The sequence below is a fragment of the Homo sapiens genome, chromosome 10 (genome assembly GCF_000001405.40).
Source record: "Homo sapiens chromosome 10, GRCh38.p14 Primary Assembly".
In the NCBI taxonomy this organism is placed as follows: domain Eukaryota; kingdom Metazoa; phylum Chordata; class Mammalia; order Primates; family Hominidae; genus Homo; species Homo sapiens.
In genome coordinates, this window is record NC_000010.11 from 119,082,809 (window position 1) to 119,096,040 (window position 13,232).

General features: G+C 46.5%; 1 annotated feature.

Moving 5' to 3' along the window:
* Window positions 10,003-10,503: an enhancer, noted in NCBI's record as "H3K4me1 hESC enhancer chr10:120852323-120852823 (GRCh37/hg19 assembly coordinates)". NCBI's record gives its function as "activates a minimal SCP1, AML or CMV promoter by ChIP-STARR-seq in naive H9 embryonic stem cells {active_cell/tissue: H9 hESC(naive)}" and the evidence as "EXISTENCE:reporter gene assay evidence [ECO:0000049][PMID:30033119]".

Here is a 13,232-nt window from a genome sequence, read left to right on the forward strand (position 1 = left end):
AGAAAGAAGATTTGGGAAGTATAGACATGGACCCAAAAAATCACAAATTCTAAAGAAGTTTATTTTAAAATTAATTTCAGAGAGCTCATCCTCCAGAACGCTTAGACCATTCTATGTGTCTGAGCTTACTCAACAAAAAAATAAGAGCTGGGCAGGGTTGATATAAAAACAAGTACTGAGAAGCTATAGGAACTGTTTTATGGGCAGGATCAAGAGACTTGTTTGTGTATCTAATAATTAAGTCAAAATTAAAGAGTGAAACATATGAGCACATACTTCTTTTACGAGATGTAGACAGAGAACTATTTAGAGATGCAAACAAAATAAAGTTGACCTAAAAAATCAGAAAAAAAGCTTGCTGACATTCATAACTTTACGTTATCATTTCTCAAAGAAAATAGTAAAATGGGCCGGCATGATGGCTCACGCCTGTAATCCAACACTTTGGGAAGCCGAGGCGGGCGAATCACAAAGTCAGGAGTTCGAGACCAGCTTGGCCAACATGGTGAAACTAAAAATACAAAAATTAGCTGGGCATGGTGGCACGTGCCCATAATCCCAGCTCCTTGGGAGGCCAAGGCAGGAGAATCACTTGAACCCTGGAGGTGGAGGTTGCATGAGCCAAGATTGTGCCACTGCACTCCAGCCTGGGCAACAGAGCGAGACTCCATCTCAAAAAAAAAAAAATAGTAAAATGGCCTCATTCGTTATTACTCATTATTTGGTATGCCTACAACAACACAAACACTAGAAACTTGGGAGATAGGTGGGGCGCAGTGGCTCACGCCTGTAACCCCAGCACTTTGGGAGGCCAAGGCAGGCGGATCACAAGGTCAGGAGTTTGAGACCAGCCTGGCCAATATGGTGAAACCCTGTCTCTACTGAAAATACAAAAATTAGCCGATTGTGGTGGCAGGCCCCTGTAGTCCCAGCTACTTGGGAGGCTGAGGCAGGAGAATCACTTGAACCCGAGAGGTGGAGGTTGCAGTGAGCCGATACCACACCACTGCACTGCAGCCTGGGCGACAGAGCGAGACTCTGTATAAAAAAAAAAAGAAAGAAAGAAACTTGGGAGATAAAATGAAATCCAATATCCCTACATATTGATCCTTTTGCCTTTCAAATTATTTAAAGTATATAAAGCATTTAGTAATATAACAAATGATCATATATGTGTATTTAAATAAAATTATGTACGGTCTAGTGGCATTTTGGGAATGAATAAAGGTGTAACATCAATTTCCAGGATAAATTTACCTATTCAACGAAGGTGGCCAGGCGCAGTGGCTCCCGCCTGTAATCCCAGCACTTTGGGAGGCCAAGGCAGGTGGATTGCCTGAGTTCTGGAATTCGAGACCAGCCTGGTCAACCTGGTGAAACTTTGTCTCTACTAAAAATGCAAAAATGAAAAACCAAAAAAAAAAAAACTAGCCGGGCGTGGTGGTGCTCACCTGTAGTCCCAGCTACTCAGGAGGCTGAGGCAGGAGAATTGCTTGAACCCAGGAGGTGGAGGTTGCAGTGAGCCGAGATGGAGCCACTGCACTCCAGCCTGGGCCACGGAGTGAGACGCTGTCTCAAAAAAATAAAAATAAAAATAAATTTTTAAAAAAAATCTACCAACAAATATTCAGTACCAGCTAACAGCCATTGGATGCGGAAGATAAAAAGATCAAGATGCCTGCTTTCCAGGAGTTAATGATTTACTGGTGAAAATAAATGAATACATAACGAGCGACAAGATAGGATTTAATCTGGGCCAGGAGAAAAGGGTAATTATTTGTTGTCGATTAATGCTTACTTAGTAGAAAACAGGCAACCTGAAGATGATAGAAACCACTTTGGGAAATGGTAAGAGGAAGTAATCAGGCTCAGGGTTTTTTCTAACTAATCAACTTACTTTTGTATTACATATGACTGGATCATTAATATGATGTTTTAGGGTTTTTTTCTGACTTGAGTGGAGTAAACATGATTCCCAGAAAGACAATTGTTAGGAGCACAAGGGAGGTAGTACATTATACATATTTGCAACATAGTATCATACAGCTTTAAAACACGTAGCATGTTTTACAATTTACAAAGTGTTTTCACATTTCTAGTTTTATTTACAAGTTTGCGTAATGAAGGTATTTGTACCCCATGAGCATAATGAATTTCAAAGAGGTTAACTAAGGTTCACAGTAATACATTCCTTCAACAAACCATTATCAAGTGCATTTCATGTACCAGGCACAGTAAGCCGGGCGTGGCGGCTCACGCCTGTAATCCTAACACTTTGAGAGGGCAAGGCGGTGGATCACCTGAGGTCAGGAGTTCGAGACCAACCTGGCCAACATGGTAACCTTGTCTCTACTAAAAAAATAGAAAAATTAGCCGGGGTGGTGGCAGGCGCCTGTAGTACCAGCCACTTGGGAGGCTGAGGCAGGAGAATCACTTGAACCCGGGAGACGGAGGTTGCACTGAGTTGACATTGCACCACTGCACTCCAGCCTGGCGACAGAGCAAGACTCTGTCTCCAAAAAAAAAAAAAAAAAAAAAAAGATACTGGCTTTCCTATACCTAAATACCCCTTTCCTCCTCCCCATCCCACCCACCTTCACCCCACTATCTGCTGCCAGTACTTCAAGCCTCAGCTCAAAGGCTTCCTCTGCAAAGCTTTTCCTGACAGCCAGGGGGTGACTGAACTGCCCCTTTGTTTGTGCTCTTGGCTCATGCAACCGTTAACTCCATCATCGCCCATTCTTGAGCACTCTGCTACCCCTGCAACCCTCACAGGCAGCTGTATTCCTTCCTTGAGCCACTGACTCCTGGAGGTGGCATCAGTGACCACCTGTGACCTGACCTTCACAGTTGGATCCTCTGCCTTACCTCAGCCACTCACACACATGGTCATACCCTAGAGTCTAGACCAGAGGTCAGCAAACTTTTTCTGTGAAAGGCCAGATGGTACATATTTTAGATTTTGTGAGCCAAGAGGCAATGTCTTCAACTTTTTGAGCAACTGTGCTTGCTGAAGGGATAATAGTCTCTCTCTCTCTCTCTCTCTCTCTCTCTGTGTGTGTGTGTGTGTGTGTGTGTGTGTGTGTGCGTGTATCTTTTTTTTTTTTTTTGAGACAGAGTCTTGCTCTGTTGCCCAGGCTGGAGTGCAGTGGCACGATCTTGGCTCACTGCCAACCCTGCCTCTTGGGTTCAATTGATTCTCCTGCCTCAGCCTTCCGAGTAGGTAGGACTACAGGCATGCACCCCACGCCCAGCTAATTTTTGTATTTTTAGTAGAGATGGGGGTTTCACCATGTTGGTCAGGCTGGCCTTGAACTTCTGACCTCAGGTAATCCACCCGCCTTGGCCTCCCAAAGTGCTGGGATTATAGGCGTGAGCCACCGCCCCCAGCCATATATTTTAAAATGCAAAGATTATTCTTAGCTCAAGGCTGAAAAACAACAGGCAGTAGACCAAATTTGGCCCACAGGCCATAGTTTGCAGACCTAAATACCACTGTGTATGAGCACAGTGGCTCATACCTGTAATCCCAGCACTTTGGGAGGCCAAGGCGGGTGGATCACTTGAAATCAGGAGTTCGAGACCAGCCTGGCCAACATGGTGAAACCCCATCTCCACTAAAAATACAAAAATTAACCAGGCATGGTGGGGTGCACACCTGTAATCCCAGCTACTCCAGAGGCTGAGGCAGGAGAATTGCTTGAACCCGAGAGGCAGAGGTTGCAGTGAGCCAAGATCGCACCACTGCACTCCAGCCTGGGCAACAGAGCGAGACTGTCTCAAAAATAAAAATGCAAACAACATGGTGAAACCCCATCTCTACTAAAAATACAAAGATTTGCTGGGCATGGTGGCACATGCCTGTAATTCCCAGCTACCCCGGAGGCTGAAGCAGAAGAATTGCTTGAACCTGGGAAGCAGAGGTTGCAGTGAGCCAAGGTTACACCACTGCAGTCCAGCCTGGATGGCAGAGCAAGACTCCATCTCAACAAAAATAAAATAAAATAATAAAGATCTTAGTTCCTGGCGGGGCGAGGTGGCTCACGCCTGTAATCCCAGCACTTTGGGAGGCCAAGGCAGGCAGATCACATGAGGTCAGGAATTCAAGACCAGCCTGCCCAACATGGCAAAACCTCGTCTCTACTAAAAATAGAAAAAAATTAGCTAGGCATGGTGGCAGGCACCTGTAGTCCCGGCTACTCAGGAGGCTGAGGCAGGAGAATCGCCTGAACCCGGGAGGTGGAGGTTGCAGTGAGCCAAGATCGCACCACTGCCCAGACTGGGCGACAAGAACGAAACTCAATCTAAAAAAAAAAAAAAAATCTTAGTTCTCAAAATCTCAATTTCAAGATTCACTTTTCAGCCACCACCTCCTATTGTTAACTCTATTGTGCTCCAACTCTAATGACCCTTCTGTTTACCAGGACCTACAATCCCTTTATCAATTCTGCTTCCTTTTCACTACCCCTCATTTCCCATGGCCTCTATTTCCCCCTTTTCCCACTCAGATTCTACAGTTTTGTTCTTTTCTTCCTCACTTCTCCTTTTATTCTACTCAGCAAATCCCAACCCTGGTCAAATCCAACCCTCCACCTACACCTTGCCTGCAGCCTAATGTGGCCACAGAAGAATGTATAAGCACGTTGACAGGTCTCACCTTAAATTCAAGACCACAGGCCTCAACAAGCACGTTGTTGCTGCCCAGCCATCCTATTAAACTTCTCTCGGCCCTATCCCATTCTCCCAGATGATTGTTTCATACTTTTTCCTCTCTCTCCAATCCTCTAATGCTCCTTGCTCTACTTTACTCTCAGCCAGGTCCTGCTTTCCCATAGCACTGAAAACAGTGGGGCAGCTAGAAGAGAACTTTGGCACCGTGCCATCTCTCCCCCAACTCACACCTGCAGCTGTGCTCAGATGCTCTGCCTTCTCTCCCTCCTCCCACTCTGTAGTCTGGGGCTCCTATCTCAAGCCAACCCCTATACACCAATGCATTTGATTCCATCTCTCACATGCAGGGGTGACCCCTTCATGTCCTTGAAATACTTCCTTCACTTGGCCACCACTCAGCCTTTCCTGATGTTCTCCTTGCTTTGCTAACTACTCTTTGCTGCTGTCTCATCTCTGTGACCTCTGAGGTTGAAATATCCCAGGGCTCAGCCCCTGGACCTCATCCTTTCTCTAACTATGCTCATTAGTTGGTTCTAGCTTATAGCTTTAGGAATCATCTCTAGGTCCGGGCGCGGTGGCTCATGCCTGTAATCCCAGCACTTTGGGAGGCTGAGGTGGGCGGATCACATGAGGTCAGGAGTTCGAGACCAGCCTGGGCAACATGGCGAAACCCTGTCTCTACTAAAAATACAAAAATTAGCTGGGCGTGGTGGCGCATGCCTGTAATCCCAGCTGCTCCAGAGGCTGAGAAAGGAAAATCGCTTGAACCCAGGAGGCGGAGTTTGCAGTAAGCCCAGGTTGCGCCATTGCACTCCAGCCTGGCGACAGAGCAAGACTCCGTCTCAGAAAAAAAGAAAAGAAAGAATCTCTAGGGCTGGGCACAGTGGCTCATGCCTGTAATCCTAGCACTTTGGGAGGCCGAGGTAGGAAGATCACCTGAAGTCAGGAGTTTGAGACCAGCCCGGCCAACATGGCAAAACCTTGTCTCTACTAAAAATACAAAAATTAGCCGAGCGTGGTGGTGTATGCCTGTAATCCCAGCCACTTGGGAGGCTGAGGCAGGAGAATCGCTTGAACCCAGGAGGCAGAGGTTGCAGTGAGCCAAGATTACGCCACTGCCCTCCAACCTGGGCAACAGAGCAAGACTTCATCTCAATAAAGAAATCATCTCAGCTGGGCGCGGTGGCTCACACCTGTAATCCCAGCACTTTGGGAGGCAGAGGCGAGCAGATCACGAGGTCAGGAGTTCGAGACCAGCCTGACCAACATGGAAACCCCGTCTCTACTAAAAATACAAAAATTAGCTGGGCATGGTGGCACGCACCTGTAATCCCAGCTACTCAGGAGGCTGAGGCAGGAGAATCACTTGAACCTAGGAGGCAGAAGTTGCAGTGAGTCGAGATCGAGCCACTGCACTCCAGCCTGGGCAACAGAGCAAGACCCTGTCTCAAAAAAAAAAAAGAAAAGAAAGAAATCATCTCAGGCCGGGCGCGGTGGCTCACGCCTGTAATCCCAGCACTTTGGGAGGCCAAGGCAGGTGGATCATGAGGTCAGGAGATCGAGACAATCCTGGCTAACACGGTGAAACCCCGTCTCTACTAAAAATACAAAAAATTAGCCAGGCGCTGTGGCGGGCGCCTGTAGTCCCAGCTACTCGGGAGGCTGAGGCAGGAGAATGGCATGAGCCCGGGAGGTGGAGCTTGCCGTGAGCTGAGATAGCGCCACTGCACTCCGGCCTGGGCGAAAGAGCAAGACTCCATCTCAAAAAAAAAAAACAAAAACAAAAACAAAAAACAAAGAAATCATCTCTAGGCTTATAAGTTACAAAATTGTATCACCCGCCCTAGACCTCTCTCCTGAAAGCCCGACCTCTCACATTCAGATGCCTGTTTGGCAAATCTATTAAATGTTCAATGTACTACACACATTCAACCTGCCAAACACCTGGTCTCCTCTACCTCCAATCTTCTCCTGTCATCTTTCCCATGTTAATAATGGCAACCTGGTTCTTCCAGTTGCTCAGATCAAAAAATGTTGGAAACATCCTTGAATCCTCTTTTTTTGTTACCTCCCCACATCCAATCAACCCATCAACGAATCCTATATCTACCACCTCCATGGCTACCACCTGGTCCAAGTCACCACCATTTCTCAACTGGAGTATTGAATAACCTGCTAACTTGTCTGTGAGTTTCCACCTTTGGAAACCTTCACTTTACTCTCCTAATAGTGAGCAGAGGAATCCTTTTAAAACAAAAGTGAAATTATCAGTCCCCTGATCAAGACCCTCTTGTGGTTCACCAACTCAGTGAAAGCTAACGTCCTTAAAATGGCCTGCAAAGCCCTACACAGTTCTTCTCCACTACCCCCAGTGTCACCTTTTCAGCCATGATAACCTTCCCTCACCTCATTAAAGTCATAATAACATCCCTTGCACCCATACTTCCTAGCACCCTTCTCTTCTTCTCTTCTTGATTTTCCTTCTCCTGTTTTTTTTTTTTTTTTTTTTTTTTGAGACAGTCTCACTCTGTTGCCCAGGCTAGAGTGCAGTGGCACTACAACCTCTGCTTCCTGGGTTCAAGTGATTCTTGTGCCTCAGCCTCCCACGTAGCTGGGGTTACAGATGCCCACCAACACGCCCGGCTAATTTTTATATTTTTAGTAGAGTCAGGGTTTCACCATGTTGGCCAGGCTGGTCTCAAACTCCTGACCTCAGGTGATCCACCCATCTCTGCCTCTCAAAGTGCTGGGATTACAGGCGTGAGTCACTGCTCCCAGCCTTTCCTTCTCTACTTGATCAGGTTTATCACCATCTGATCCCCATATATTTTATGAATTTATTTCTTTATTATCCACCCCTTTAGAATAAAACGAGCTTGATGAGGGCAAGGATTTTGTGTCTGTTTCATTTACTGCTGTATGTCTAGTACCTATAACAGTGCCTGGCACATAGTAAGCACTCGGTAAATTTCTGTTGAATAAATAAACTGATTAAAGGAGGCTTCCTGTATTATGATTGCCTCTCTCCATGTTGGTCTCCTGTATGCCACTGGGAGTCCTTTGAAGGTCGTCACTAGGACAGTTCATTTTTGCATGTAGATTGTGCCTGGCACACAGTCAACACCAGAAAGTGGTTGTTCATTTTATGTTTCAGAGCACCTTGGTGGTTCCGACGGTGTGGTAACAAGGTCTGAAACCTTACAGCCGTGCATTCTTAATCATGAAAGTGTCCAACCGGGGTTGGAAATTTTCAACGATGGTCCATGAAGTGCAGATGTGAGGTGCACTGTGCCTGAGCCAGACGGTTCTCATTGGACCTTTTGGGTTCTGCAAATTCAAAGCAGGAAAATTGGAATGCAGCTTCAGTTAAGTGTATATTTAGTAAAAACATGTCCTGGCAGTATTTGTTACTTATTGGGAGAAATGCATCTTACATTTGGCTGTCTTCAGCCTTTAAGTTTCTGCCAGACTCCAGGAGAAGGCTGAAGGGAAGGAGAGGAGCATGTTTGTGGGATCAATGCATATACTCACACATGCCATTATTGACATGCCATGAAGTGCAGCTCCTGCTTGGGGATTTAGGAGGTAATGTCCAAAGCCACACAGACCAACCAGGCCCAATAAAGCAGAGTGAGTAATACACTGTGCATGGTGGTTTTGGGTGTGGTTTGAAAACAAGCATCACTGTTAAATACGTTAAATACGATTAGAAGGAAACCTAAAACCACAGGGTGTGGACTTTTATGTTGGGGGTGTGTATATTAGATAATCTTCACATGGACCTTTTCATTGTATCAGCTTCTCACGGAGCAGCTTGAATGGCACCTCCTCAGAGAGCCTTCTCATGGTCATTTGCTCTAAGTCTGTTTTAGCCGAGCACCGTGGCATAAACCTGTAATCCCAACAATTTGGGAGGCTGAGACAGGAGGCTCACTTGAGCCCAAGAGCTCAAGACCAGCCTGGGGAAAATAGGGAGACCTTCTCTCTACAAAAAATAAAAAAATAGCTAGGTGTGGTGGTGCACCTGTGGTCCCAGCTACTCAGGAGGCTGAAGTAGGAGGATCACTTGAGCCTGGGAGATCGAGGCTGCAGTGAGCCATGATCATACCTCTCTACTCCAGCCTGGGTGATGGAATGAGACCCTGCCTCCAAAAAACAAAACAAATAAAAAAAAAATAAAGACTGTCTTTTTTTTTTTTTTTTTTTTGAGACGGAGTCTTGCTCTGTTGCCCAGGCTGGAGTGCAGTGGCACCATCTCGGCTCACTGCAACCTCCACCTCCTGGGTTCAAGCGATTCTGCTGCCTCAGCCTCCTGAGTAGCTGGGATTACAGGTGCCCACCACCATGCCCAGCTAATTGGTTGTTTTTTTGTTTGTTTGTTTGTTTGTTTTGAGACGGAGTCTTGCTCTGTCACCCAGGCTGGAGTGCAGTGGTGAGATCTTGGCTCACTGCAACCTCTGCCTCCCCGGTTCAAGCAATTCTGCCTCAACCTCCCAAGTAAATGGGATTACAAGCGTATGCCACCACGCCTGGCTAATTTTTTGTATTTTTAGTAGAGACGGGGTTTCAGCATGTTAGCCAGGATGATTTCGATCTCCTGACCTTGGGATCCACCCACCTTGGCCTCCCAAAGTACTGGGATTATAGGCATGAGCCACCACGCCCAGCCAAGACTACCTGTTTTAATTCTCTCCCAAGGGATCATCAGTATATTTCAGATCCCCTTGATGGTTCTAACTGCATGATAACAAGGTCTCATGTTTCCTTGGTCTTTGTTTGTCTTTGTTCCCTTGGTTGCTGTCTCCCTCACTACACTAGATGGTAAGATTTAAGGGACAAAGTGTGTCTTGTTCACCATTGTATCTCCGGCTCCCAGAACTATGGCCAGTGCAGAGCAAGTACTCCATAAATGTGTGATGTGTGAATAAATAAAGGAATGGAGAATGTGGTAGGCAAAATTCTAAGACGTCCCCAGGAGTCCCATCCCCTGGTATACACGTCCTGTCCCTGGGGCTGTAAATGTGATGGGATGTCACTCCTGTGATTAGGCTATGTTATCTGTCACAGTTGACTTTAAGATAGGGAGAAGCTGGGCTGGGCGCAGTGGCTCACACTTTTAATCTCAGCACTTTGGGAGGCCAAGGCGGGCGGATCACTTGAGGTCAGAAGTTTGAGACCAGCCTGGCCAACATGACAAAACCCCGTCTCGACCAAAATTACAAAAATTAGGAGGTGTGGTAACTCATGTCTGTAATCCCAGCTACTTGGGAGGCCGTCGGTTGCTGAGGCAGGAGAATCACTTGAACCTGGGAAGCAGAGGTTGCAGTGAGCCAAGATCACACCACTGCACTCCAGCCCAGGTGACAGAGTGAGACTCTGTCTCAAAAAATAAAAAAAAGAAAAGAAAAGATAGAAATGGGGTGTGGCAGCTCATGCCTCTAATCCCAGCACTTTGGGAGGCAGAGGCAGGAGGATCGTTTGAGCCCAGGAGTTCAAGGTTAGAGTGACCTATGATCCTGCCACCGCATTCCAGCTCTGGGAACAGAGCAAGACCCTGTCTCAAAAAAAAAAGAAAAAAAAAAGAAAAGAAAGAGGAGAAAAGAGAAGGTTGTTCTTTGGTCTTGGCAGCAGAAGATAATGAAGGGAATAATATGATATTATTCAGAAAGTGTCGCAATAAGATGCACACATTGAGCCTCTGCTGTGGCTCTAGACCTACTACCTCAAAAGTTGACCTGTGGCAAATGTGGCTACTCGGCCAAGCACAAGAGAAAGTATAATTGGAGCTCCAGGGATAAAAGACAAAAAAAAAAAAAAAACACTAGGACCAGTTCAATTATGCACCTAAAAATTGTATACAGGTTGCCAGGCGCCGTGGCTCACGCCTGTAATCCCAGCACTTTGGGAGGCCAAGGTCGGCAAAGTGCTTGAGTCCAGGAGTTTGAGACCAGCCCAGGCAACTTGATGAAACTTCATCTCTACAAAAAATACAAAAAAATTAGCCAGGTGTTGTAGTGTGTGCGTGTAGTTCCAGCTACTTGGGAGGATGAGGTGGGAGGATCACCCGAACCAGGGAGATTGAGGCTGCAGTGAGCCAAGCCAGGAATGTGCCACTGCACTCTAGCCTGGCTAACAGAGTGAAACCCTGTCCGCAAAAATTAAATTAAATTAAATTTAAAAAAGAATTTCAACAATTAGCCATGCAATGAGTGTTCTGATTTTTTTTAAAAGATTGAGGGGGAGAGTATTTGGGTGGGGCTTACTCAATCACGTAAGCCTTTAAATCCATCCATGTGGAGAGGTCAGAAGCAAAGGAAGGGATTCAAAGCATGAGCAGGCACACAGAAGGAACCCCAAGGCAAGAAACTGCAGGCACCTCCAAGGGCTGAGGTAAGCCCTCCAGCCAACAGCCAGCCAGAGAACAGGGACCTCAGTCCTACCCCTGCAAGGGAATTATTCTGTCAACAATCTCAATGAGCCTGGAAGCAAACGCATCCCCAGAGCCTCCAGAGAGGAATGCGGCCTGGTCAGTGCCTGGATTCACAGCCTGGCAAGACACTAAACAGAGCATCCAGTCACACTGTTCCTGGACAACTAACCTACAGTGAGCCAATGAAAGGGTTTTGTTTGTTTGTTTGTTTGTTTGTTTGTTTGTTTTTTGAGATGGAGTCTTGTTATTGTTGCCCAGGCTGGAGTGCAATGGTGCAATCTCGGCTCACTGCAACCTCTGCCTCCCAGATTCAAGTGATTCTCCTGCCTCAGCCTCCTGAGTAGCTGAGACTGCAGGCGCCCACCACCATGCCTGGCTATTTTGTTTGTATTTTTAGTAGAGATGGGGTTTCACCATGTTGACGAGGCTGGTCTTGAACTGCTGACTTCAGGTGATCCACCCCTCTTGGCCTCCCAAAGTGCTGGGATTACAGGCATGAGCCACTGTGCCCGGCTAAAAGGGTGTTCTTTAAGCTTCTAAGTTTGATTAGTTACACAGCAATAGAAAACTGATACAAACCCAGAGACCTTAACAATTCTCTTGGCATTAACTCTTTTTCTTTTTTGAGACAGTTTTGCTCTGTCGCCCAGGCTGAAGTGCAGTAGCACAATCTTGCCTCACTGCAACCTCCACCTCTGAAGTTCAAGCGTCTCTCAAGCCTCAGCCACCCGAGTAGCTGGGATTACAGGCGCACGGCACCATGCCTGGCTAATTTTTTTATTTTTGTATAGTACAGGTGGGGTTTCACCATGTTGGCCAGGCTGGTCTCAAACTCCTGCCTCAAGTGATCCACCAGCCTCAGCCTCCCAAAGTGCTGGGATTCCAGGTGTGAGCCACTGCACCCGGCCAGCATTAAGTCTTGCAGAAGCAAGAATGAAACACTAACAGTTTAAAATTTTTAAAGTTACTTTGCCTTATGTGAAATGAAAACAGAAATACAGCTCAATGGAGGATAAGGAGATTGTTTAAGGTTTAACTGTACAATTCAGACTGCTCAAGCAAAAACCTCCTACAGGGAAACTGGGACTATAAACATGTTATTGTACTCACATTGGTGTTTTTAGGACTAGAAGGTACATTTCTTCTTCTTCTTCTTTTTTTTTTTTTTTTGAGACAGAGTCTCGCACTGTCACCCAGGCTGGAGTGCAGTGGCGCGATCTCGGCTCACTGCAACCTCCACCTCCCAGGTTCAAGCGATTCTCCTGCCTCAGCCTCCCGAGTAGCTGTGACTACAGGCGCGTGCCACCACGCCCAGCTAATTTTTTTTGTATTTTTAGTAGAGACGGGGTTTCACAATGTTGGCCAGGATGGTCTCGATCTCTTGACCTCATGATCCGCCTGCCTGGGCCTCCCAAAGTGCTGGGATTACAGGTGTGAGCCACCTGTGCCCCGCCTTAGAAGGTACATTTCTTTTGCGTTTTTTTTTTTTTTTTTTTTTTAGACAGGGTCTTACTGGGTTTTCTTGGCTGGAATGCAGTGGCCTTGGCCTGATCATAGCTCACCACAACCTGGAACTCCTGGGTTCGAGTGATCTTCCAGCCTCAGTCCCCCAGGTAGCCAGGACCACAGGCACACACCACCACACCCACCTTGCATTTTATTTTCTACAGACATAGGATTATAAATACATTTCACTTCATCCCATAAACATGCCATATTTGGAGTCAGATGTGGCTTTTAACCCCAGCTTTGCCATTTACTAGCTCCGTGACATTGGGCATGAAATCTCTCTGTAAGCCTCTGTTTTCCCATCTGCAAAACAGCCACAATAAGGGTGTGGTGGGGTTTAAATGAGACACTACATGTAGTGCTTTTTTTTCTTTACTCTTTTTTTTTTTTTTTTCTGAGACAGGGTTCTTGTTGCCCAGGCTGGAGTACAGTGGCATGATCTTGGCTCACTGCAGCCTCCTCGACTTCCTGGGCTCAAGCAATCCTCCCACTTCAGCCTCCTGCGTAGCTGAGACCACAGAAATGCGCCACCATGCCTTGCTAATTTTGTTATTTTTTGTTGAGAGGGGGTTTCCCCATGTTTCCCAGGCAAGTCTTGAACTTCTAAGCTCAAGCAGTCCAC